Source organism: Homo sapiens, chromosome 20, assembly GCF_000001405.40.
Source record: "Homo sapiens chromosome 20, GRCh38.p14 Primary Assembly".
Classification (NCBI taxonomy): Eukaryota; Metazoa; Chordata; class Mammalia; order Primates; family Hominidae; genus Homo; species Homo sapiens.
This window is the reverse complement of record NC_000020.11, coordinates 59,299,568-59,326,130: the sequence shown is the minus strand read 5'-3', so window position 1 is coordinate 59,326,130 and position 26,563 is coordinate 59,299,568. Positions and strand designations below refer to the sequence as shown.

General features: G+C 49.5%; 1 protein-coding gene across 10 annotated transcripts, besides 2 other annotated features; it reads right to left on the bottom strand.

Annotated features, from left to right (window-relative positions):
• On the bottom strand, positions 139–25,520 carry EDN3 (endothelin 3). Of its 10 annotated transcripts, XR_936513.3 has the most exons (6): positions 25,267–25,520; positions 24,409–24,721; positions 4,938–5,114; positions 3,679–3,759; positions 2,408–2,465; positions 139–1,800 (listed from the first exon to the last, which is right to left on the bottom strand). XR_936513.3 is itself a non-coding variant. In XM_011528655.3 (5 exons), exons 1-5 carry the CDS (start codon positions 25,316–25,318, stop codon positions 1,672–1,674), a joined length of 735 nt encoding a protein of 244 aa, XP_011526957.1. In that variant the 5' UTR covers positions 25,319–25,520; the 3' UTR covers positions 139–1,671. The 10 variants fall into 10 exon arrangements, 9 of the variants coding, with proteins under 9 accessions (XP_011526957.1, NP_001411290.1, NP_001411292.1 ...); XM_011528655.3 differs by lacking the exon at positions 2,408–2,465 and having other exon boundaries at positions 139–1,804; positions 3,714–3,773; NM_001424361.1 differs by lacking the exon at positions 2,408–2,465 and having other exon boundaries at positions 3,714–3,773.
• Positions 6,843–7,137: a silencer, noted in NCBI's record as "tiled region #9189; K562 Repressive non-DNase unmatched - State 22:ReprW". NCBI's record gives its function as "represses a minimal TATA promoter and a strong SV40 promoter by Sharpr-MPRA in K562 cells {active_cell/tissue: K562}" and the evidence as "EXISTENCE:reporter gene assay evidence [ECO:0000049][PMID:27701403]".
• Positions 7,682–8,182: an enhancer, noted in NCBI's record as "H3K4me1 hESC enhancer chr20:57893004-57893504 (GRCh37/hg19 assembly coordinates)". NCBI's record gives its function as "activates a minimal SCP1, AML or CMV promoter by ChIP-STARR-seq in primed H9 embryonic stem cells {active_cell/tissue: H9 hESC(primed)}" and the evidence as "EXISTENCE:reporter gene assay evidence [ECO:0000049][PMID:30033119]".

The window sequence follows — 26,563 nt, the reverse complement described above, 5'->3', positions numbered from 1 at the left end:
CCCCTCATCTAGCTCCATAACTGACTTTAGATGGATTCCACTTCCCAAACCACAACTTCTTCCCGTCCTCTCCAGAGGTCCATGAAAAGTTGATGCGCAACCCCGCACATAAAGACAGTGAGGAAAAAAACCCACAAATCAGAGCAAACTTTAGGTTTTTTATTAGGCTTTTGACAGTACTTTCTGAGTATTTGAGCAATTGATGGGTTTCTCTCTGATACCATCTTGCCACGGTGCCAAACAGCACATATGCATTTTAAAAATGTAATTCAAGCTCTAAGGAGTATGAGTTTGTATTCAGAATGCAATTTAAAATCTACCTACCTATCTACCTCTCTATACGTATATACAGTGACTACTTTGAACAGATCCACATAAAGGAGTTGGAGTGGAGAACAGTTTCACAATAAATAATCGCTTCTCTAAACTGTACAAAATCCTACCAGCAAATCAGCCACTTTCATTTCCTCATGATAGGTCATCACTTTTATACCTGTAATAACTTATGAAATACACACAGAGGATTTAACATTTGGTCAAGGCCAATGCTCTGTCATACACCATCTTAAATGTCTCTCTACGGGGCCCTGGACACCCACTCAAATGCCGTTTCCTATCTCTCTGTGACTGGGTTGGGGAGATGGGCAGCCCTCCCCTGCGCAGGCGACTTTACATGGTGGGATAACATCTCCACACTCACAGTAAGCTCGGCTCGGTGGGAAGAGCGCAGCTGAAAGAGATTTTGAACTGTCAGACGGTATAAGTTGTTGCCAATTTATATAAACAGGAATTTACATAATTTACAAAGAATTTGTGTTCGTGACTTATTTTGAAGCCATTCCCCAAAGATCCACATTTACTCATGAAAGCAAATATTCAACCTAATAGCCTTGAGCTGGGGCTGTCTTTACAGTCGGCTTCCTGCAAACAAGGCCTGGGAACTCCACTGTGTATCGGCCTGGTGTCTATACAGAATACAGAGGGTCAGTCACTGAACAGGAACAAGCTCTGTATTGCAGATACTAACTTTCTCATTTTCTTGTCACAAACATCAAGGATCCTTTTTTCTTCTTCCTTCATTCTTTCGAGATACATTCTTTTGGTGGGTATCAAGCACAGCTGAAAATTTCTCTGCCAAAATCCCATAAGCTTCAAATTCATAAACTCCTGTAGAGCTATGATCTGTGTCTAAAGCCGACGCCTCGTGGCCCTCACTGACATACACCATGCAGCCTATTCTAGGCAAGGATATGAAAGTCGCATGCTTCTGCTGCACGGGCATTTTGCATTTATTACAAGATGGACATGTGTTTACATTTGCAAAGAGTTAGCTTGGAGTCCACTTATTCTCCAAGAGAAGTCATGTCAAAAGCCAGTAAGTGGCTTTCCAACTTGCCAAAACTCTCCAAAACCAATTTCCTGCATGAAACCGGAGCTGCAGGCGTCATGCTCTGGGGCACATCTGGGATCATTTTACTCATTAGGAAAACTGGGGTCATTCGGATTTGGGCATTCTTGCCGTGGGGGGGGGGTATTGTTAAGTGGGGACTCTTTGGGTGGGTGTTCTGCCCCAGGCAAATTCACTTCTTGTCTATAAAGAGGTGGAAATCTGAACTGTGTGTGAGCAATGACAGAAGCCTCCCGAGACCAGGATGCTGCAGGCCTGTCCTCCTAAGGGGCTCCTTCCTGAAAGAGGCAGCGGGGGCAGGTAGATGGAGCGAGGGCGAGTCCACTGCCGGGCATGAGCTTTGGATGGTGGAGGTCTAAAGCCTGCTTGCTTTGTTGGTCCTTGACTTCAACCTGTCTTGGGGAAAGGGGGCAAAAGAAAAAAAAAGAAAGGTATGTTATGAAAGTGTAGCTCTGTAGTTCTGTGAAGCTGAAAAAGGGAACGTCTTCCCACTGCCTCTCCAGCCTGTTCCCTGATTGGAACTGTATGTACCCTCTTCCCAGTGCTTCTCAGCAATTTCCGAGCCTACCACCAGACTGGAAAAGTGTGAAAAGAATAACACCAGCAGACAAGGCTGCTAGGGGCCCTCCCGCAGCCTGGCCCCATCTTTGATTACCACAAGCTAAGGATGGTGACAGCTTCCACTCTGAGAATGTGAATCTGGGAATTACTAACTTGAATCTTGCAAGAAAGCAAGAACATTGGCTTAATAAGAGACTTTTTCTTCCCAAGTAAAGCTTCTTACTAGAGCTTTACATGACTCATAGAGACCTGGAAGAACCACTTTTCCAGGCCCTGCTGGGACATCTGCACCACCAATTGCATCTTTTGAACATGTGACATAGAACAGTAATAATCACCACAACAGCAAAAGGACCGGTGTGCTTCTCCTATATAGGGCTCCCTTCTGGCCGTTCCCTGAGCACACTCTAGGGCGTTTGCACTCACCGGTTCCCCTACCTGAAATCCCTTTCCCTCACTCATCCCTATGGCTCCTCCCAGCCTTCCTTCAGGTCACCTGGTGAGAAAGATGAGGCCACGTCAACCCCATCTCAAACTGCAACCACCCCACGCTTCCTACCCTTGCCGTGTCTTTCTGTTATTCTTTGCAATCTCACTTTAAATTGTACATGTTTGCTGTCTGCATCCCCACTAGTTAAGCTCTATAAAAGAGATCCTATGCCTTGTTCCTGCTATGTCCCCAGCATCGAGAATGGTGCCCAGCCCGTAGCAGGTGCCCAACAAGTCTTTGCTGAACGAATGCATAAGCGAATGAATAAATGATGCAATGGATGGATGGGTTTAATTACATCCCGCCCTCGCTGAGAGGAGCTTTGGTTTGGGGTGAGGAAGAGAAAAAGAGGAAAAAGAATGAAGAGGCAAAGTGGGACCATCTGGGTCTGACTCATGCTCTCCCGGGCTCTGTCTCTTCCGCCTCGGCCCTCCTCCTCCCGCTCCATTTTTATTATGGTTGCTGACAGATCCCTCTCTGGACTAGACTAGAAGCGATCTGCCACCAATTTGGAAAGCTCCTGTATACTGAGCATGGTTTCATCTTCCCTCGATCAGTCTCTGTAGAAACCCAAGCCACCTCCAGGCTATTATTATGAACATAAATTACCATCCCATTGCAGATGAGCTGCGGAGTCATTAATAATGACTTCTGATTGATAGAATGACAAATAAACCCAGTTTGACTGCAGGAAACCCTCAGGATCTCTCATACAAAAAAGACAAGTGGGTTAAAAAAAATAATACAATGAACTGGAGAACCAAGGGACCCTGCTGTCAAGCTGCTGTAATTCACCTCTGCCCAGAATCAGCTGCTGAAAAGAATAAATGATTTTTTTGACGAGAAAGACCACATGTTGCTAAGGAAGCAGAGGCGAAGTGTGGGTCTGGGCAGAGCAGCCTACAGGGCCTCTGAGAGCGGTGGTTGACTAGCTTTGTCCAGGCCAGGTGAAATCCAGGCAGGACATCACTGCCCAGAGCTACAAGGGATGCAAGGGCTGGCTCCCAGGACACAGAGCAGGGTGGCCAGGGACCGACAAGTGACAGCAGCTGTCCACAGCTTCAGCCCGCTCTGCCCCCAGAAACGGTCCACCAAAGGCACCATTGCTTGTGGGTGCAGCATCCCATGAGATCTGGGGTTCCCACTGGACCAGACCAGATGCCATCCCCTCAAAACACCCTCCACCCACCCCCGAAGGAATGACACGTCACATCTTCACCTCCTTTGACACAGGCCTCTGTTGGCACCTCTCACCTTCCCTTCCTCTTCTTTGTCTGTTTTTTCTGCCGTCCTTGAATTACTGTGGGGAGAGAGCTGGTTTTAATCAATCAACCTGCCTTTCCCTGTGGCTGGTTTTTCGGTGTCAAATTATGACTTCCTCTTCCCCACCAATGAGCACATTAGTGCGTTCCCCAAGGACTGCGTCTCAGGCACAGTTTCTGAAGGCTGAGCACTCGGTGGGTGGATTTCTACCAAAGTACAGAATATACTCACCACTCACTTATTCATCGGATGTTTAAAAGCCCAGAAGGGGGGAAAAACCATGCAGTTCACACTGGGTTTCACAGACGGCAGATCCTGGGGTCCTGAGCGCTACCGTCTGCCTTGTTGGGGTGTTGGGAGCTCACCCCTGCCTATGTGTCTTTTGTGTGCATCAGGGCAGCTCACCTACGCCTGCTCCAGGAAGGGTTTTGAAAGGGCCAATCTGCCTCACTGGGTTCATGAATCTTGGCCCGAAGTTAAGAAAAAGATGGAGTAAGGAGCATTAACAGGAATACCTGTTATGTGAATACCAGCTCAAAGCCCCTGGGTCAAACATGGAGTCTGCCTGTTGGTTCCATTCAACGTGATTTGCAAGCTTCCCTAAGGCAGCCAGGACAGACCACAGGGTCTCAAACTTGGGGGCCTCCAGGGGCTACAAAGTAAGATAAATTGGTAACAGGTAAATGGATATTGCACATCCTACTCAAACGTGAGATGCCCCCACTCAGTTCCAGCTGAGGGTGGCCAAAGAGAAGGGGGGCTCTGAGACCAGATGGTCCTACGTGCTGGGTTCCCCCCCCTCCCAATAAGCCTTTTGCACTCTTATCATGGGCTATTTTCGAGAAGGCTAAAAATACGCATTTGGCAGGGGTTAATTCTTCAATCTTTTAAGTGTTGGCAACTTATTCAGATTTTCACAAAGTGCTGTGCAGGCCAGAAAAACATATGTCTGGAAACCAGATGTAGCCACGGCCACTGTGAAGCTTCTGTTCCAAAAGGCAGCAAGGGGGTGGGGACGCTGCATCTCCTGCCCTCCTGATGCTGAGGACCTGGGTCTTTTCTGGGCTCAGCACCTCCTTTCTCTGGCCCACAGGACGACAGTAGGTCAGGATGTGACTGAACTATCCTACACCCTCCTTTGAGAAGCCCCTGGCCTGGCCTTGCCGAGGGTTGATGCATATCTGCAAATGAGTGAAACTGGAGGAGGTGTCATACCTGCTGACGTCCAGAGTTTGGGTGCAAAAGTGCAGGCAGGCCTTGTCATATCTCCCCACACAAGCGCAGCGCAAGTGTGGCCGATGTGAGAGCTGCAGATTCCCTGGAAGTGGCCCCGCAGACCTCTTGCCCCGGAAGCTTCCTCTGTAGTTGGACAGTCCATAGGGCACCGTCTGTCTGCAAAGCACAGGGTAATGTTAGGTGAGCACACCCAGGCCTCCCTGCTCAGGGGCCCCCAAGGGTGTGGAGCGAGAACCACCGCCTGGCTGAAAAGGTCTCAGAAACTGGTGTTCACAACCCTCCCCACTACAGCTCTGGGTCTTAGGAAGGTTCTGGAGTGAACTGTGCACCCCCTGCCCTCCACAACCCCCAGGAAGAGAGTTGGGGCTGAGGGCATGGAAGGACATGGAGGGTCTGGGTAGCTGGGCAGCAGCCAGCACTCTTGGAGCCCAGCAGGCGTCTGGGCATGTGTGCCTGCACTTGTGAGCCCCTTAGCCTCACCCAAGGCACCAGCTGCAGGTGTGGCCTGAACGCCCTGGGGCTCTGCGATCTGTGAACATGGGTGGGCTTTCATTCTCTTCAAGACCAAACCACGGCCGGCCTAGCTCCTCCGGGCCGGGTTCTGCTCCTCGGCTCTGGAAGTACCATCTGGGCCTCCTCCTCATTCCATGGAAAGCCGAGAAAGAATTAAAGACAACCATAGCACCTGTTCCAGAGGCTTTTCTTCCTGTGCCAAGGGCATGTGGGGCAACCTACGTGCTGGTCTGGGTCTTCGCCCTGATCAGATCACCTGCCTACCCCGCAGCCTGAGGCCAGACCTGAGGTTTCTGACTGAATTTCTTCCATGTGCACAGCAGTTTGTGCTAATGAGAAGATGGGAAATGCAATTACAGTCATTAGAGATGCATCCCGGCCTTTGAAAGTTGCTTCCTCAAAGAGACAAACATCAGAAGGAACACTCCGTGACCTCTGAGAGGCGGGTGAGGGCCTGGCCATGCAGCTGAAAGTGGAACCAGCCTCAGAAGAGCCGCGTGATGAAGAAGGCTTGAAACCATTGACCAATTTCGTTTATGGTTGGCGTTGGCAGGAGGAGTGTGATGGTGTGGTTCAGAGCAAAACCCGTGGAAGCTGGTTCTAGTGAGTGTGCACATCCAAATCATCACTTGCCAGAGAAAAAGGGGGTGCCTGCCAGGCAGTTCAGCGGGAAGAAGTTGAAAGCAGATCCTTAACTTACTAGCTTGATTTGAGGAACAAATTACTAATAGCTAGAAGAAACATGTGGCCAAAGCCACTTTTCCAATAAACATTGGTTTTCTTGCTAGTCCCCAGAGATGAACCACCTTGGTTTCCATGAACCCCACTGAGTAGTACCAATTATCCACTTCAAAGGGAGTCCTGACATCCCCTCTGCATTTTCTTTTTTCTTTTCTTTTCTTTTTTTCTTTTTTTTCTTTTTTTTTTTTTTTTGAGACAGAGTCTCGCTCTTGTCGCCCAGGCTGGAGTGCAATGGCACGATCTCGGCTCACTGCAACCTCTGCCTCCCCGATTCAAGCAATTCTCCTGCCTTAGCCTCCCAAGTAGCTGGGACTACAGGCATGTGCCACCACGCCCGGCTAATTATTATTATTGTTATTATTTGTATTTTTAGTAGAGACAGGGTTTCACTGTGTTAGCCAGGATGGTCTCCATCTCTTGACCTTGTGATCCGCCTGCCTCGGCCTCCCAAAGTGCTGGATTACAGGTGTGAGCCACCATGCCCAGCCCCTCGCTGCATTTTCAAAATAAAATCAAATTGAATTTCTTTTCATTTGAAACACACACCATAAAGCCTTTTTGCGACAGTGAGGGCAAATTGGGCCAGGAAGCCCCATAGTGACCTAAGGCTTGGAGGGAGTCCCCCGCCCCCGCCTCCCTGCTGGGTTGAACACAAGAGCCTAAAACTGACCCCACCCTGTTCGTTGACTCTTGTTCTCCCCACTAACTCCCTCCCACCCAAGTTCCTCAGAAACAGAGGTGGTGGGATCCCTCCAGGCAGAGACAGGCCCCGCTGATGAGCCATCTGTGCTCAGGAAACGGAGACAGAGGGCAGGATCCAGCCCTGTATTGAGCTGAACCCTCCTTCAAGCCCGTTTTTTCTCAGGAATGGGAAATGGGGGTAGGGAGTGCAGCAAGACAATGTAGACATTGTTTTGAGGCAGAGTTTGGCAAAGGTGTATTTTTCCAGTAACAGGGCCACATTAAATCTCTGAGTGTTGACATTAAATCAATCCCCCCATTTCTTGGAGAAAATTACACACAAGGAATAACAACGCTCCCATTTCTCCATCAATAGTGAGACCTGCAATTTTGAAACTGCTGTCAGCTGATTATGCATTTGCACATGTAGAGCCCCTCAACTTGAGCCAAAACACTCCAAAGTGTTTTAAGTAAGGAAACAAGGCAACATGGTATTTGTTAATGAAGACAGGCTTAGCACTTCCCCGGCCGCCAAGCGCGGTAAAGTGCTGGTGTGCAAACAGGCTCTGGCAGTTTAGAGAGGCACGGCCCCCTCCCCTGCCCTACAGCCTTGAGGCACAGAAACCCCTCCACCAAGGCCTGGGCCTTCCGGGTGTGCAGTCTGCTGACCGACCCGTGCGGAGGTGAGGGAAGCTGACGGCCCAGCAGAGCCTGCCGCTGACATTGTAGAGTCTGGAATGAGAGTTCGCGATGGAGGCCCACCTCCCACAGGGCTAATCATTTAAAGGTTTCAATCGATCTGATAAGCCCTGAAACGAAAAAGTGTTATCTCCTGTATCTGGACAAATGTGGCTTCCAAATGCTGCCTTGCAGGTCCAGCTTTTAATTTAGAATCCTGGGCTCCTGGCCACTCCGTATCGACATGTGGTGGAGGCCCAGTACCTTCTCTGCTATCCTGCGCCATCCCACACCAGCGCTGGCTTCAAGCACTCCCCGTGCATGCCCCAGGCTGCTTCCTCCAAGCTCCTTCCACCCTACATCCTGTAAGCAGCTGTCACCCTGCAGGCCTGGAGATATGTACCTGGAGCCCTGCTCATCCCCAAGTGTCAGGCCCTGGAAGTGGTCTTGGGGATGCGTGAGTAGGGAATTCCAGCCCCTGAATACCTGGAACATGGTCTTGAAGAGGGAGCATATGGCTTTGAGTCCCAGACTCTTACAGTGGGGTGGGAGGCATGGCCAGAGTGGCGTCAGAGGCAGTCCTCTAACCCACAGGGCCCAGAGTTGCAGTGTTTCTTACCCAAGTCTAAAGGCAGATTACTGGATCCTCAAAAGAGAGGGCAGGTCTTTTACTTCTTTTTTACCCACCATGGGCCTCACACAAGGCCAGGCGAACAGATTATTGATTGAGCAACTGGTAATTCATGGTGAGATCATTCTAGTCTGGCGAGACAGGATTCTTTTCACCCTAAAGAGTTCAATAACCACAAAAATCACTGAAAGAATCTCCAACATTCTTCAGCATCCACTATATACGTGGTATCAATGTAAGTGTCACAGGGACACAGAAAGGCACATCCCTATGTGTCCATGCCTTCAGGAGTTATATGCTGTTGGACTACGAAAACAGGTAAAGGAAAAAAGGCCAGTAGGTACAGGTATGTGCAAGGTACACACAGAGACACATGACCTGGTAATACTGCTCTTATGTTACATGATGATCACTTCACCCTCTCAACAACTTCCTGGTCGACAAAAGTGTGGCTGGACAAAGCAAAGGAGATACTGCATGGAAAATACTTAGCAAAGTGCCATAAGCAAACAGTAGCTACTATTGTTATTTATCTGGTCTGGGAGGTCAAGTGAGTTGTATCAGAAAAGTCCCACCTACTAAGCTTGGCATTTGAGATGTTTGACTTAGCAATAAAGAAGGGTAATAAGGAGCCCAAGGCCACAGGTCACCTCATTCGACACCACCTTCTCACCGAGCTCTGACGCCAGATTACCAGCTCATGAGCACTTCTATTTCAGTAGTGATAACGTACTCATATCTCATGAGCATTCATATTTCATTTGTGGCCTGCTTCATCGCTGGCTGTTTACTGAGTAGTGAACAGGAAAGACCTAACGGTGGACCATGAACGTGAAGTGAAATTGGCGGAGAACCTTTGACCAGCATGCCCTGCCCAGTGGCTGGGGCCTACCGCTCTATAATACAACGGGGTTTTCAGAATACAATCCTTTATACAAGTAGGCAGCTCTTCCATCTGTTCATGTCTCAGTTATAAAACAAAGCTCCATGCAAAAGAAAAGCAGGTGAGAAGATTAATCCAAATATCCTTAGAAAAAACAAAATGCCCTCCAGCACACTTACATACGCAATCTCTGGTGTTGTGTGTGTTCATCCAATAAATTATCACTCAACTTATGTATTCAGAACATTCATTATTTGATTGGTGTGGTGACAACAGAGTCTTTTTTATCAAATGTTTCTTATTTGTCACGTTTTCCCAAACATCATGTATAAGTGTTATTAAATATTAAATTCCCCAATCTCTCATATTCATTCTTCATCTGCAACACCACACTGAAAACGCTTTATTTCTCTCTACAAGAAGTTTTTAAATAAGGAAAGCTGACTTTTGTTTTAAAGATTCTGTTTTTAAGTTCCGTGTTGCCTTTTCATGAATGAATTAACACTCTCCATCTTTCTGATCAGGAGACTGGCCTGTATATCTGAAGTTTAAAGAAGAGACACAGATATTCCCACTGACCAGATTCTAAATTCTTAGGAAAGCTTATCAAACTGTCATTCCCTATTGAAAACCCAGTTTTTATTCCACCCCCCACAACTGAATAGCATTCAACAAATATTTGCCAACTGCTTTTCAACATGCAGGCGCTGGACTAGACTCCGGGTAAAACTTATGTAAAGACAGACAAGGGGCGGGGCCCTGCCCTGCACACATACACTTTTAATCCAGTACTGAGGTCAGCAAATTGGCATTTTTGTCAGCTTTTTTCAGTCAACAGTGTTTTGTTTTTGTTTTCGTTTTGAGACAGAGTCTCACTCTGTCGCCAGGCTGGAGTGCAGTGGCGCAATCTTGGCTCACTGCAACCTCCGCCTCCTGGGTTTGAGCGATTCTCGTGCCTCACCCTCCCAAGCAGCTGGGACTACAGGCACACACCACCACACCCAGCTAATTTTTTTGTATTTTTAGTAGAGACAGGGTTTCACCATGTTGGCCAGAATGGTCTCAGTCGTTTGACCTCGTGATCCACCCCCTCACCCTCCCAAAGTGCTGGGATTACAGGCGTGAACCATAGTGTTTTTTGTTAAATCCGGAAATTTCACATAAACATCCCGATTTCCAGCTTTTCTTGAAGAATTGGAAGTTGTGCTAATACCAACCTCATATTCCAGCATGGCAGCCGGGTAATGATCTCAGAGACTGGGCGTAAACCCTCCATTCTGCCCCAGTCCCCACCATTTTCAGTAGTTTTATACCTGGCCCCCTTCGCTCATCTTTTTTATGTGTCTGGCCCTCAGGAGCATCTGAGTTTACAACTCCTAGTCTAGTGGTTTATTCCATAAAGCGAAGGCAGATAGGTCAGATGACACATGAACAAAATGAGTACCTGATACTATTTTCCTCTTTACAGATAGAGGCGTTGTTTCATTTAAATAGAGGTGTTGTTTTCATTTAAAAAGCCCAGCTGGTGACTTGAGTGTCTCCCCAACAAATAGAACATGTTCATGTCACACTTAGGATACATGTCAAGTTGATGATCTGCTTCCTCGGTTCACATTTTTCCTTCTGAACTGGGAAAGCAGAGGCAATATTGCCTTTTGGCCCAGGGGACATATTGTACAGAAAGCATGGCTCTGTGACTTGTCCTGTGGCCAAGAGGAGGAGAAACAACTGTTTCCCACTGGCAGACAGTCAGGAGGCAGCCCCCAGCTGCCAGGCACCAGCAGTCATTGGATACTACCTCCTGCCATTCCCTGGAGAAACAACTTCTAGACCCTCGCATGCTTTCTAACTACAGCTCAATTTCAGACTTTATTACATTCCCTAGAAGGCACCACTCATCAACTCTCCCAAGCTTAGAAATGTCTGCCTGGGCAGGGAGGAAAATGTCAATCACCTTTATTTACCATCTGTAATCTGAACCAGTCAGAACGTGGCTCTAATGACTAAGACAGGGTGAAATAGAAAGATTAATCCAAATACCCTTAGAAAAAACAAAATGCCCTCCAGCACACCTACATATGCAATCTCTGGTGTGGAAGTGGCTGACTATTCAAAGGCCCATGAAAGTGACCCTTTGCTTCAGCAAACATCCAGCAGACACTGCTACGCACAACACATGGAGACAAAGGGGAGGGATAGGACCAGGAACAGGAGCACCTGCACTCCAAGGACTGAGAAGCAGGGAATTCTCTGGAGCCCGAGGCCAGCATTGGTTATTTTTGTCTCCTAGGATCCAGTCTGCCACCTTCTCTTTGGAGAATTATCCGCCTTCCATTGTGTGAGGTCTCTGGGGGGCAGTCAATTGATGGGCCTCACCTACCACTGCCTGAGGACTGGTCAGGAGACCTAAACTGGGCCAATAGGACCCACTCTCTCCCAAGACTCCTAAGAGGGGCAACTCGAGATCAGAAAACACTCTGGAGCTACAATTTGCCAAGCAGCCCCGCCCCTCCTTGTCCATTTGGTGCACCCCTAGACCCCCAATCCTGTCCTAACACCTCTCCTTTCAGAGCCTAGGGCTTCTTCTTGCCTCCAGTCTGTGAGCTTTCCCGTGTCCTTCCAATAAACTCCTCCTGTGCTTTGCCAGCTAGACTAGGTTTCTGTTGCTTGTGACCAGTGAACTCTGGCTGATCCTGGACCTCACTTTCATGAGATGGCAACCACAGACTCTTGGGTATAAGAGGAAGGCTTGTAGTCTCCCCAGCTGTTGAGGACAAGGAAAAATTTTCTTCACTGCGACAACACACAGAAAAGCATGTTCAGAATCAGGACAAACCCAGCACAGTAAGCTGGCTGGAGTCCTTTCCCCCAAGTGTGTGCACTGTGAAATGTCTGTCCTCCACAGGTGGAAGCAGGCTATGCCCCTCCTTTCCCCCAGGTGTGCCCGCTGCCCACTGTCTGTCCTTCAGCAGGTGGAGGCAGGCATGCCATCCCTTCCTTCCCAGGAGGCTCAGAGCCCACCCCCGGACGCTCATTTGACCACCTCAGAAGTTTCGTCCTCTACTGAACTTATTCCTTGCCCGCTCATCAAATGCTTATGAAAGTCTGCTGTGGGCCAGGCCTTATGCCAGACAGCCCATGGGGTGCCCTTCCAACTTCCAGGAAAGAAAATAGGCCAGGAAACATAGCTCCTCAGTGACCTCATTATATAAGCAGAGAACACACACAGGCGCTTTCTGGTTCTAAAGAATATTATACAAAGCTTATGCTTCCTAAACATCAGAACAGTGAACCGGCAATTCATAGCTTTCCTTCTGCTGCAGAAAATTCTCACGGCTTAAAGTTGGGAGGACCCAAGGCAGACCGTTCATCCCACCACCCCACAAGGTGGGAAGTCCATCTCCCGCAGCCCTCAGAAAGAGCCCATGATTCTAGAATATTTGGAAATACCAAAAGCAGTGAGCAATGTGCTGTGGGTTAATTGTTGCCTTTTTAAAAAATTACTCTATCCCCCTCCTTTCCCCCTCAAAAAACCTTTGGATTTACCCAGGACTTGGCTGTTTGAGAATTTTAACAGTATCACATACATTTTCAAAAAGAATACTGAGCATTATCCCCTACCAATCAGATCTAAGAATGAGGGCCAGTTCCTTCGTTTCATTTAAGAGATGGTGTCTGGCCCAGGCACAACCCCCTGGCTCAGCAACAGCAGGACCTTGTCCAGCCGGAGCCACTGGTTGTGTCTGCCCCATTCACCTCTCCATCCAGGGCAGCTGACACCATGTCTGGCTCAAAATCAAGTCCCAATATCTCAATAATAAATACCTGTTAAACGAATGAATGAATAGGGTCCAAATGAGCCATCACTGCACAGCCCTACCCAGTGTCCCAAACATATGACATTCTTGGCTGACTCAATGGATCTCTACTTATTTTGTCCTTCATCAGCTGGTCTTTGAGGGGTTTTCCTAGAAAACCTTCTAGATTACTTGTGGCCTCTAGATTACTTGAAGTGGAAGAATTATGTCTTGGCAATAACTCCTGCAGGCCACATCAGCACCTTGGTGGACAAACTAGGCTGCGTAGATGGGTAAGGTACCAGAGCAAAACAGAGGCTTTACTAAGCTGGAAGACCCAGGCTTCTAGTCCCAAGGATGACTCATTCACAGGAAAGGTGGGCACCTTCCTTCTGGCCCTGAGAAACAAAAGGGCTGGCTGGGTCTCTCCAGGGTCCCTCTGGCTCCAAACTCCACTCAGATGTTTCCAAAGGCCCTCACCATCCCTTGAACATCCTTAAATAGCACAATCACTGGAGAAGGCCTTAGACCTTTGCCCCAGCGCTAACACCAAACTCAAAGTGAGGTGCTCCACTCCACCCAAGATAAGTGGTTCCCAGGATCTCATCAACTGTATTTAGAAAGCCTTAGCCCAAACTGTTTACACTCTTCCATGGCCTATTACCATAAGGCTGAGATTAAAAAGAATCTCAAAGTCGCAGCATTTATCATCTCATCAGCTCATTGGACCATAGACCTATTCCTCCCCTAACACAGGCACCTGCACACTTAAGGATACTTGGAGGAAGCACCAGGGGGTCAAAGGAAAGGAGAACAACAGAAAAATACCTCTGGTTTTTGTTATGTGGTGCAGGATTTTCAAGACTTATGGCTAAAAAAAAAATTAGAGAAACAAACTCCTCCAAAACTTGGGGAATTAAGCCGTCTATGGAATCCTACAGATTAGCAGTTTCCCTCCATCTGGTACAACCAAAATGCATCAAACGAGTTAGGCTAGAGTTTCTCTCCCCAGCCCCCAGTGACCCTTCTGAATTCCAGGCCGAATGTAGGCATGAGAAATCCATGGCTGCCTGGCCCAGCCTCATTATAACTTTATGCAAAGCTGCAGACAGACAGGGCTCAAAATAGTTCCCAGCAGTGGAAAGAGAAGAGGGAAAACAGGGAGCAAGTATTTTCATAAGGATGGGGTTATGTGCAAAGGGATTAAAAAAAATGCCGACACCATGATACATGCTTTGAATAATTTAAAGAAAGCAAGAGAAGACACTCTTGCTAATTTTCAGGAGATACCAGGTTAAGGATGGAAAAGATCTTCATGAGCAAGACTTATGCTTACCATCACAATGACCGTAAAGATACGCTCATCTTCCACCTAACCTAATTGTCTGTGTCCTTGTGTAATGCCCTTTTGGTAGCTCTGTCAGAGGTGTTCGAACCAGAGCAACTCTATCTTGAATAGGGGCTGGGTAGAATGAGGCTGCATTGCCAGAAGGTGAGGCATTCTTACTCATTGGATGAGACGGGAGGTCCACACAAGACATTGCTCACAAAGACTCCCACTAATAAAACAGGACGTGGAAAAAAAAAAAAAACATGGCCAAAATCCACCAAAACCAAGATGGCAACCCAAGTGACCTTCTGTTGTCCTCACTGCTCATTATATGCTAATTATAATGCATTAGCCACTAAAAGACACTCCCACCAGCGCCATGACAGTTTACAAATGCCATGGCAACATCAGGAAGTCACCCTATATGGTCTAGGAAGGGGGAACCTCAGTTCCAGGAATTCATGAATAACCCACCCCTTGTTTAGCATAGGATCGAAAAATAACTGTAAGTATACTCAATCAAGCAGCCCATACCACTGCTCTATGGAGCAGCCATTCTTTTGTTTCTTTACTTCTCTAATACATTTGCTTTCGCTTTACTCTATGGACTTGCCTTGAATTCTTTCTTGCTCGAGGTGCAAGAACCCTCTCTTGGGGTCTGGATCGGGACCCCTTTCCAGTAATAGCTCCAATAGATTTATCACTTACCTCAAACTACTGAGTCTCTATTAGAGACACAGGCTTTATCCTCAAGCAAGATGCCAGGGCTGGGATTAGGGTGAGGCAGGTGAGGTAAGTGGAGCAAGCTCAGGGCTGGATCCTGCCTTTACTAAAAACAATATTTGGTCGATTATGAATTTTTTTTTGCACTCATTTTGGCTTTCTGAAAATAGTGCATTACATTTTACTTGTTTTTTCCTACTTTCTGGTGCCTCCTGAAAGTTTGTACATGAGGGAGTGCCTCACTCACCCCAGTCTATTCTCAGCCCTGCAAGAGACCCATGGAAATCAGATTCCTAAAAATCCAGAAAAGTTACATGGACCTCTGCTGTCTCATGTAGTTGCTTCTGACTCTCGGCAAAGCAATTTGCGCTCCCCAAGTTGTGGGGCGAAACTGTCCACCAGCGGGCCAGTCATGTTTTTGGTTGCGTCTGTCGGTACTTTTGTCATCAATGCATATGAAATGAAGCTGTTTCTGGTTTTTCAATTACTGGGCCAGGGACCAGGCCTCCCTGACTGTTCTGTTCCTGAGTTACTGTTTATTAAGAGCTCCCACCAAGTCTGCCCTGAGGAGGCCACAAAAGAAGAAGAGGCCAGTGCTTCCAAGCCTGTGAATGTCCCCAAGGTCTCCCAAAGCTCTTGGCCCTCCTAAGACTCTGAGGTGGGGCAGATGAGAAAGAGAGCTGATGCCTCATCCTGTCTGTCTATTCTTGGGAGGTTTGGTGGGTGAGCCAGGATTCCGAAGCCCCCAAAACTATGCGGACAAACAATTCATTCACATGTGGCTGTCTGTACTCAGCCATGCTCTGCAATTTATTTTCCGAGTGCAATTAATTTCTATTCCAAAGTGGGCAAAAGTCTGTGTGTATGTGTGTGTGCATTTCCAATTTTGAGGAACTCTGTTTCAACTGAAACATGACAAGGAAGGAGACCAGGTCACTTTCTCATGCAAAACAGAGACCATCCACTTCCAATACACTGGAACGCGGGGTGGTGCCGTAGACAGGGTCACCCTTTACAGCTCCCCCTCTGAGGTTTGGAACTGGAATTATAAAGCAGAAGCATTGTTTGCCTCCCAGCTTCCTTTGTTTTAAATTCTTGCAGGAACAAACATGACCAGACACATCAGAGCCTTTCATGTGCCTTCAGATTGAAGGCCAAGTTCCTCACTGTAATGGCCCTTTCATCTAGCACAAATCCAAATTCTCCCTCGGGGTCACACAGGGTCACAACCTCTTTGTACCAAGTTTTCTTGCTACAAATCAAACTGCCTTCCAGCCTCAAGTCCCTCTGTCTCCCAAGTGGAGATTAGTTGCATTCCACCAAGTCTGTTTTTGTTCCTGGACCACTCACACTTCCTGCTGACTCTGGGGCAGAAAACGGGCTTTCTACCTGTGCATCCCCAACAGAAAAGTCCTCGTAGGACTGACCTTTCCAACAAACTGCGAAACTTAGCCCTAAGTCTCCCCAATTTTAAAGAAGTATCTTGCCGTCCAGTGTTCTAAGAAATATGCCACTCCAACTCAAAACTGGTACCCAAAAGTGTGCTAATTTCTAAGGAAGAGATAGAAATGGTTATGTGAGGGGAAAAACCTCCTGAAACCATGATCAGTCAGAACCTCAAGCTCAGGGTCCCTTTTAATCTGGCCAACACCCTCTTCTTTCACATGCCCGTCTCAAAAGCACATCATGAAATGATGTTTTCTAAATAGATGTCTGTGGGATTTCCTCGATTGCTTCCTGGTGACTCCCAGTTGGTGACACCCACTTCAGGTCCTGGGCAATGCTGGGTGAAGTCAGAAGTGAGGCTACTGGTGCCCCATGGGGTCCTCAGCTGCAAATTACAAGGCATTATATCTACTCTGCTGGACGTACCAAGGACATGAGAGCCACAGATGCCTCACAGAGCTCTCAGCATAGGTGTTTAACAAAGAGGTAAACAGATCATTCCTGTTCTCCTGAACTGAGACCCTAATCACCCCAATCACCACCCCTACCTCCTATTTCACAGACACAGCCCCAGACGGGTGCCCGCAAAGAGCGCCATGCCCCATTACTGAAAACTTTCAGTGATTTACCAAGGGGAGAGGGAAGCAATAGAAAGCAGAAAGGAGGGGCTGGAAGGGCGGGACTGAATCTCAGCCCAGCCCAGCAACCTTTGACCACAGAGTCTTTATCAGGCTGCTTATCAGCAACAGCAGACAGCCAGGCACACCTTTTCCCAGAGTCTGTAAGCTTTCTGCTAATTGAGGCTAACAGACCGTCCTGCAGGGGACAGGGTGGACAGGTTTGCTCCGGGGCACTCCAGGAGCTAAGATCAGAGTCAGAAGGTCCAAAGAGGTGGACCCCAGCAGAACTTGAGCAAGGACTTTCTACTCACCAGCCAGCATCCTCCAATCACAGGATTGGATATGGCAGGAGGACTGGTTTTGGCCCAGGAAGGGCTTCTGCAGGGCTGGAGGTTGTGTTGTTATCATTGTGGCCACCATCTTCAAGACGTTGAGTGTTTACTAGATTGTAGGCGCTGTGCTAACCACGCCCTGTGTACTTTCTTGTGTCATCCTGAAAACATCTTTCCTCATAGAGTGCTATCTATTCCCCCACTCTCTAGATGGGGACACTGAAGGTCTCAGAGGTGACATCTCCTAAGTGGCAGATCCAGATTTCAGCCCAGGCATTCGAGCCCACAGTTTGAGCTCTTAACCCCTACAAAGGGATCTGTTCCTCCTCCACGTGACAATTTGGATGAGTGGGCCCCAGGCCCCATTCCTCTCTAAACCCCAGGAGTCTCTAAACCAAAGTGTGAAGCTGGATCTGCAAGAAGAGATGGATTTGAGCAGTCCCACCTCCTATGTCTGCCCTGCTCCCGTAACCACACCAAGAAGCAAGAAGACAGAACAAGGCACAGAGCAGCAGCCAAGAAAAGAAAAATCCTGCACCAGGAATGAGACTCATGGCCTGGGGGTCCCTCGCCCTCTCGCCTAGACTCAGCCCCCTCTGTCCCAGCATCTCTGACATCAGGACAAACCTTCTGGTTTGCTTGGAGTGCACACTCAACCAGCCCCTCTTACCCACAGAGAAACCACCAAGGGCTCTGGTAGGCTAAAGGAAAATCACATGCTTCTATGCAAGCCAAGGCTACATTTCCAGAATAAAATTTAGGACTTGTGATGGACCAAGGATTTGGGTTTTGCCCATGTGTTAACATATGTTAATAAAAATAATCTTGCAAAAGGGTAAATATATGATTACATAGAATTATATATATGAATCATCACTATCAAAAAGAACAAAACCCCAGCCCTAACAATGTAACAAGACCCGATCTCTACAAAAAAAAAAAAAAATTACTAAATTAGCTAGGCATGGTGACACGCACCTGTGGTTCCAGCTACTCGGGAGGCTGAGGTGGGAGATTCGATTGAGCCCAGGAGTTCAAAGTTGCAGTGACCTATGATTGCATCACTGCACTTCAGCCTGGGCGACAGAATGAGACACTGTCTCAAAAAGAACAAAACCACCCTTAATCAGTCACGGATGGGGAACCATGTCTTTTATTCATTCTTGGGTCCCAGAGCCCCATTCAATACTGACCCAGGTGAGGCACTCTGGGAAAACATATTAAATGAACGAAAGCAGGAGTCATCTAAGATGGCATATTAGTCACCTAAGAAGCCCATGTTGGGAACATGCACACAGGAGGAGGCTTACAGGGCAGGCTTCAGGGCCAAACTTCTGGGCTGGCAGCCCAGTCCCTACTCACAAGCTCTGCAACCTTGGCCAACTGACTCCGCCTCCTGGGCTCAGCTTCTTCCTGTAAACTACAGGGACAATAGCATCCAACTAATGGGGCTGTCAAGCTGATCCCATGAGATGACATGAGGTCACAGTCATGGTCAGCCATCCTCACCATCCATGATTAGTAGCAGACTATTCATGACCCCTTTCCAAAACCATGATGGCAGAAAGACTGGCCCTCTGCCTCATATGGCCACATGTCCAACAATGATACTGCCAGGTGTGGCTCACAGGTCAGGGTGACTTTTGTTTTTTTGAGATGGAATCTTGGTCTGTCACCCAGGCTGGAGTGCAGTGGCGTGATCTCTGCTCACTGCAACCTCCACCTCCTGGGTTCAAGTGATTCTCCTGCTTCAGCCTCTCCAGTAGCTGGGACTACAGGCACATGCCACCATGCCTGGCTATTTTTTGTATTTTTAGTACAGACGGGGTTTCACCATGTTGGCCAGGCTCATCTCAAACTCCTGACTTCAAGTGATCTGCCCACCTCAGCCTCCCAAAGTGTTGGGTTTATAGGTGTGAGCCACCGCGCCTGGCCCAGGGTGACTTTTATCGGGATCCCAAAATCACATTCTGGTGCTCAGCTGGCTCCTCATGTGCAGGAAGTTGGGGTTCCAGATCCAACCGTTCTATTGGGATGTTCTAAAATTTGGAATATCTCTTCTTGAGACCATGCCAAGATGCCTTTCTTGAAGAACACAGAAGGCAAAGCCAGAATCTGTGATGCTGCCCTTTTGTGGTAGAATACATTAAAATACAAGTTTAAATGTTTTGTTAATGCTTTTTTTTTTTTTTTTTTTTTTTTACTCTTTATGCATTTAGGGGAGAAAAAAACTCAAAAGAAATGGCATTCCTGCTGGATTAAGTTTAGTGTGGCTTGATCCAGGGCAGCCTGGGAAGCCGGCCTGGGCATCTTGATAGGAGCTGATCAGACTGTTGGGATTAGGAGAGACTTGGCAGCTCACTGTCCTGGAGCGGCTGATGTCTGCACCTTCCAGAGGGTCACAGAGAGGCAACAGCACCTCCTGGCTCAAGGCCACACAGATAGTCATGGCCAGGACTCAAGGGCAGCACTTCTGGGTTCTGGAGTCTTCTCCACAAGTCGGGACTGCAAATCCCAAATTTTCCACCATGATCATGATTCCCAACATCCTGCCCTGTTCTTTTCATAACTACATTCCTATCTGCCAGCCCATGTGTGTCAGATTTTGGTTTGGAAAACACAGTCACCATCCAGCATCACAATGCCTCCCTCAGATGTCCTTAGAGGGATGAACAGATGGCAGGATCCCTCAGCTCATGGGGCGGGGAGGAGCACAGTGGGGCTCTTTGCTGGGTGCTTCACAGCTCAGTCAGCCATTGGATAAACAGGTTTTCAGTCTTCAGCCAGGCTCTGAGGGGCTGGTCCGCCATGAAATGTGGTTCGAGCTGACATCCCCGTTATGGGTCACTTTAGGTGTCAACTTGGCTAGGATACTGTGCCCAGTTGTTTAGTCAAACAGCAGCCTAGATGTTGCCCTGAAGGTATTTTTGATATGTGATTAACATTTAAATCAGTAGACTTTGAGCAAAGCAGCTGACCCTCCAAAATGTAGTGGGCCTCATCCAATCTGTTGAGGGCCTTCACAGAAAAGACAGGTTCCCGAACAGAAAAGAATTCTGCTTCCAGACCTCCTTGACATCAACTCCCTCGGGAATTTTCAGCCTGGTGGCATGCAGATTTCTGGCCTGCCAGCCCCCACAATCATGTAAGCCAAATTCTGAAAATTGCTCTTTGTCTCTCTCCATATATATATCTCTGGAGGGACATTGCCCATAACTTCTGTTTATCCTCCATAAAAGTCCATGGCCCCCAAGAGCAACCAAATATTTCCTTTGGCAACCGCACTTCTGATATATGCATAATCTGCAGACATGCACACACCCTGTTGGTTCTGTCTCTCTAGAGAACCCTGACTCCTACAGGCCCCAGCTACCTGGTATCTGTTTCTTCAGTCTGCTCATAGAGGACAGCCGCAGTGTACAAGGACATCAGCACACGGACCCCTTGTTCACCACCTGTCCCCTTACTATCTTATTCTTGGCAACTTATCCATGACAATAGGATGGGATATGTTTTTCTCTGATTTGGGACTTTGATTTTGTTGGCAGTGGTGGGATGGCTTGGGGACTGTGGGGGACAGCCAAGGAAAGGCTAATGGAAATCATGCTATCCCATTGATGAACTGTGATCCCAGCAGCCTTGACAGGGTAAGTATAAATTTGGTTCCTCTTTGGGGCGATGGACTTTTGGGAAGATATCACAGAAGTTATGGGCAACATCCCCAAGAAAAACTCTCTTGCCCACCCCTGTCTACAGGGATGTGCAGGCCCCTGAAGAGCAGCCAGGCACCTGGAGAAAGAGGCCTCCTGTGTGGGAGAAGGCACTGGAGATTTAGGGGCTCAGCAACAGCAAAGATGAGCCAGAGTACCCAGGTGGCAGGACTTAGCCAAAAGTCAACCAGCATTTCCTGAGCATCCATGCCATGCTGGGTGCTAACAGAAAGGGCCGACCAAGCTCGGGTCTGGAAGGACTAAGGAGGGGAAAAAAGCAGGAGGGCTAAAGGGACAGCCGAGGAATCTCAGACCTTCTTTCCAAAAGAGACTTAAGAGACCAACTAGTCTCTTGAGCCTGAACTAGACAGTTAACTTCCCTTGAGGAGATGCAAAGCGGGTCTCGGTAGTAACTCCCAATATGACTCCTGCAGCATCTCAGATCCTCGAAGGGAGCAAAAATGACCGTACTCAGAGCAATTTCCATCAAAGATCAACTAGGAGTGTTGATTCTGTCTTCACGCAGCTGGATGCGCCATGGGAGGAAAGGCTCTGAAAGGTGAAAAGCACCCAAAGTTCAAGACCCCTGACTGAGGCACAAGAATCAAGGCTCCTTCTCGTGCCCAGAACAGCTGCCGCTGGGACAGGGAGAAATCACACCTGGTGGAGAAGTTTGGAGAGGGAGACCAGTCCATGAATGAAGAGGGCGTGACAGCAGGAGAGGGGAACATGTGACAGGTGGGGTTGTGATCTAATGGGGAGACAGAACCACTAGAAAAGACTGTGTCCCTCACTTCCAGTGCCTCTTTTGCTCAATTCAGTGATTTTTTAGATTCCTCCCCATCACTCCTGTTCCCTGTCACCACAGCCCATTTTCTCAAATTGCAGTCTTGCCTGAGATATTTTAAAGATGACAACAGACCTATCTACACATCTACAGAGTTTCAGGAAGGAAGGGAAGGAGGGAGGGAAAAGAAGGGAAAGGAAAGAGGGAAAGAAGGGAGGGGGAGAGGGAGGGAGGGCAGGAGGAAGTTTGGAGGGTAAGAAAGAAAGGAGGGAGGCAGGAAGGGAGGGAAGGAGGCCATTTGGGAAGTTCTGCCTCATAAAAATTATTTTACCTGTCTAATTTCAAAATGCTCAAGTCTGGCTATTGTCGTTTTTGTTTCCCAAGTAGCTCAGGGGATGCCCAAACACCAGATTTAATCCTTCTTTCATCATGTTTAAATTGAACCAGTGTCGGGAAGGAAGGGAAGAGGTAAATCACACTTCAGGGGGAAAGTTATCAAGTTGGCTGTCCTGGAAAAAGTCAGAGAGCCACAGCTTCATTTCAGGACAAACTCGAAATCATGAGACAGGACTTCAAACAGATCGCAGGATGCATGAGACAGAATTTTAAACAGATCACAGGGTGTTGGTTGAGACTCTCAGACATGTCTCAAGTCATCACTTCCTCCCCAGCCAGTGCTCCGGGGTTTGGTAAACAGGCAACGAATGAAAGAGATGGTTTCCAAATCCTCTCCCACCTGCCCACCACCCCAGGTTCCTGTCTGTAATTCCATTAGCTTTCTTCTTTCTCCTTCTAGATTCACAGCTGGGGATTCTGGCCAAGACAAGAACTCGGTTCCTGGTGACTGCCCAGTGCCCTCCATTCTATGAAGTGAATTTGATCAGAGCACAATGATGCAGGATAAGAATCAGAAAGGGCAGTGCCAAGGTGCAGGGGCTACAAGGAAAGGTGACTCCCCTCGCTATCTGAGGATAAGAGGCAATTGATGATGGCCCAACACTCACAGCTTCTATCTTCCCCACAAAGGGAAAGAAACAGGGAGGCACCTCCCATCCTCTAGGTGGACACAGCCCAGCCAGCAAATCAGGGTATCACGACCAGCTACAGAATTTATGGGACCCAGGAGAAAATGCAAATGTGCAGCTCTTTGTTCAGAAAGTATTAAGGATTTCAAGACAGTGACAGCAGGACTTTAAGCCGAGCCAGAGTCTTTCTGAGTGCAGGACTTTGTGCACGTGTCCTGCTGGCTCAATGTGAAGCCCCTGCCTGCCCTTCAAGCATGGTGGGGTGATGTTCCAGATCTATCATGGATGTGATTAGAGGTCTTGTCCCCTGGTCTGAAAGACATTCCACCCCTCAGGTTTACTACCCTCGTCTGCACTTCATTTTTGAGGTGCCGATGACACAAGGTAGGTAAGTGAGCCCCATGAAAGCTGCTACCAAGGGCTCAGAGGTTATGGGGCTTGGGGATAAAGGTGACCGTGAGGAACCTGAATCAAGACGGCTCCGGGACACGGTGGCAAAGGTGCCTTTCCAGGCTTCCAGGGGCTTGCATTCACAACCATCTCTGAGTTCTCAGCTAAGAATCCCTAATAGGGTACAAGCAAGAGTCCCAAGAGATCCCATGAACACCCAGGGAACAGAACTTAGAGGTGTCTGATCCAAGTCCCAGATCTTAGAGATGGGGAAGCCAATGCCAGAGAGTTGGTGACCCAGGCAAGGTCAAGCCCTCTGTATGGCCTGCAAGATGATGTGCCTGCAGGAGGGGTTCCCTGAACACTGGGAGTCATCAAAGCCTCCCCCTGTCAGAGCCACACTCTCTCCACATGGCCCCAGGAGAAGGCTGACTTCCCCACTGGACGAACCCCAAGACAAATTCAGGATGGTGCTGTCTAGGCCCTAGGGTAAGAGAGTTTCTAAGGACTGCAGGAGAGAAGGGAAGGCCCTCTGTGACCATGGCAGTGGGTGACTGGAGCCAGCCTGTGGAAGGCCCAAGGACGAGCTGATGTGAATTCACCCTGCCTTGGCATCCAGGGGGGCCCACAGGAAGGAAGGGAGCCCATCCCAGGGGAATTCTACCCCGAGTGGACTGTGCAGGTTCTGTCAGGCTCAGCTAAACCCACCCTTAGACTCCCTGGAGACCAGGATGCTTTCAAGGAATTTTAAACCCCTTGGATCCTGGTGGGGTCAACAGTGAGTATGAGCCCCCTTGGCCCCTGGGGAATGAGATAAACTTTCGGGGCTTTCTCTATCTCAGAAAAGAGGCTCAGAGAGACATCTCAGGTATCTAATCCCCCTGGTCAGTTCACTTCATTCAGAGGGAGGGCTCCTCCTTCCACAGGATCAAACTCAGGATTGAGTTTCTCTTGGGCCAGGCCCTCAGGGGGGATGTGGGTCACACCCCTGACCTGCAGAAGAGACCTGGGCTGGCAAGAGGCCCCAGCAAGAGCTAAAGGCTGTGCCAGGGCAGGCTCTGGGCTAACTGAGCGGGGCTGGGGTGGAGTGAGGTCCTCCTGGGAATGAGCAGATGTGGGCCTGGTCCGGGAGCCACGTTCCTCACCACAAAAGGCTGACTTACTCGGGAGTGTTGATCCAAATGATGTCCAGGTGGCAATAGTAGACACACTCCTTGTCCTTGTAGGTGAAGCACGTGCAGCGCCTGGATCGGTGGTGCTCAGGGGCCCCCTCGGCCGCCTGCTCCTGCCCAGGGCTTCCAGGGCTTGGACCCTGCAGTGCTGTCGGGGCCACAGTCCCCTCGCCAGGGCCAGCCACAGTCTCCTCGCCAGGGCCAGCCACAGTCTCTTCACAGTCCCCCTCAGATCTGGCTGCAGTGGGGGCCTGGGACACGCCGCGCCTGCCAGCATCCCCAGACTGGGAGCAAGGCACGAATCCTGCAGAAGGCAGATTGAGGGGCTCCTAAGCTGAGTGTGCAGACCCCTCAACACCCGCCACCCCCAAACACCTGAGGAGGGGGGTGGAGCAAGCAAAATGTCTGCAAAGTTTCCAAAGCTCTGCGCAGTTTCTGAAAAGTTTCCAAGCTATCTGCACACTCTGTGAAAAGCTTGCAAGCTATCTGCACCCGTTGAAAACTTGCATGCATTTTGCATACTTTCTGCAAACTTTGCCAGGGTTTGGCACAGCCTCTGAATAGTTCGCAAACTTTCTGAAAAGTCCCCAGTTTCATGAAAAATTGACCAAGTCGGCCCAGGCAGCAGGTCTCCAGCCAGTGCGCGGGCTGCAACTCCCGGAGCCCGTGCGGGTAGTCGTTGCGCGCCGCTTCTGCTCCCCAGCCCTCCCCCAGGCGTCTTCACGAGTGCAGAGCCCAGGCAAGAGTTTGCTCCCCGCGACGCACATCTTCTCCGCGCCTCGGGTCCCCCGCCCTGGGTCCTTTTGTGTGCGCTCGCGCCAGGAGAGGCGCGCCGCCCCGTGCGCTTACCTGCGGCGGAGGTCACTGTGAGCCCGAAAAGGAGCCACAGCCCCGGCTCCATGAACCTAGATCAGGCGCCGGAGCACCGGACCAGGAGGACGGCCGCTTGTGGCCGCGAAAGGGCACTGGGGCCGGGTACAGCTGGCCTCGCCCTCCAGCTGTGGGGGTTCGAGGCCGGCCGATCGCTCGCTGCGTCTCCAGCTCCGGCCAGGAGTTGGCTGCGGCGGTCATAAACTTTCAGAGCGCGCTGCCCATCCCTGCGCGGAGCTGGCCGGCTGTGGCTCGGGCTTTTCTGGCTTCTGCACCACCCCCGTCGCCTCCCCGCCCCCCAGAGGGGCTGGAACTGCCTCGCCGGGCCTTTGAACCCGGGCGCACTGGGGGTCGCCTCCCAGGCGCTGGGGGGAGCTGGCCAGGAGCGCAGCGGCCCGAGGCGCACCCAGGACAGCGAGGGGCGGGGGCGGCGTGGCGTGGCGCGGCTGGGTGGGGTGGGGTAGGGTGGGGTGGGGGCCGGGACAGCTGCCAGCTGCCGGAAGGCCACGAGAGCGCGCGCACACACGCACACGCGCGCTCACACTCACAGGCGCACCCCCGCCCGCCAGTTCGCCGCTCCGGAGTAGCAGCCCCCCATCCAAGAGCAAGAACAGATGAGAAAAGGCTGTGCTCAAGGGGTGTTATCTTTTCTATCAGGGGCTGAGGGAAAGACACATTTCTCATTGTTCCCCGAGTGACACCTTCCCCTTGAAGAGCCTGCTTGCCAAGGAACTCGGTGTACTTTACACTCTTGACTCACGCCTCGGGCTGGCTCCCTACCTCTCCCAGGAGTTCAGAGCCTGCGTGTGGGGCAGTGGCCTGGGAGCAAAGTCAACAAAGATCCTGGGTTAGCGGTCCTGTGGTGTCCAGGGCTTCCTCAGCCATCTGCACAGGTTGGGTGGCTTCAGGTGAGAGTCGGGCTCCTCTCCCTAAAGGCCAAGTTCATTCACACAACCGTCCCTACCAAGGGAAATGACCTCCCAAGAGAGCCCCCTACTTCCTTCATAGCCTTCCAAGTCCTGTGTGTGGGAGGCTGTCCCCATCTCCAGCTCAGATAAAAATGTCTGAGACTGGGAAGTCCTCCTGACTTCTCAGGGCACTTGTGGTCAAAGGACCCTCCTTTCATAACAGATGGGGTTGGGGGAGGGGCAGTGCTTCACATCTGTAATTCCAGCTCTTTGAGAGGCCAAGGTGGATGGATTGCTTGAGCCTGGGAGTTCAAGACCAGCCTGGGCAACATAGCGAGACCTCATCTCTAAAAAATGGGGTTGAATTG

Excerpts from the sequence above, each read along its gene's own strand:
- EDN3 (NM_001424362.1), bottom strand. The coding sequence starts at position 25,318 with ATGGAGCCGGGGCTGTGGCTCCTTTTCGGGCTCACAGTGACCTCCGCC. Across the intron at positions 3,760-4,937 it reads CAAACTCTGGACGTCAGCAG|TAATTCAAGGACGGCAGAAA; the intron begins GTATGACACCTC and ends CTCTCCCCACAG. Across the intron at positions 1,805-3,678 it reads AGAGGCCTGTGTCAAAGGAG|ACAGGTTGAAGTCAAGGACC; the intron begins GTGAAGATGTGA and ends CCTTTCCCCAAG.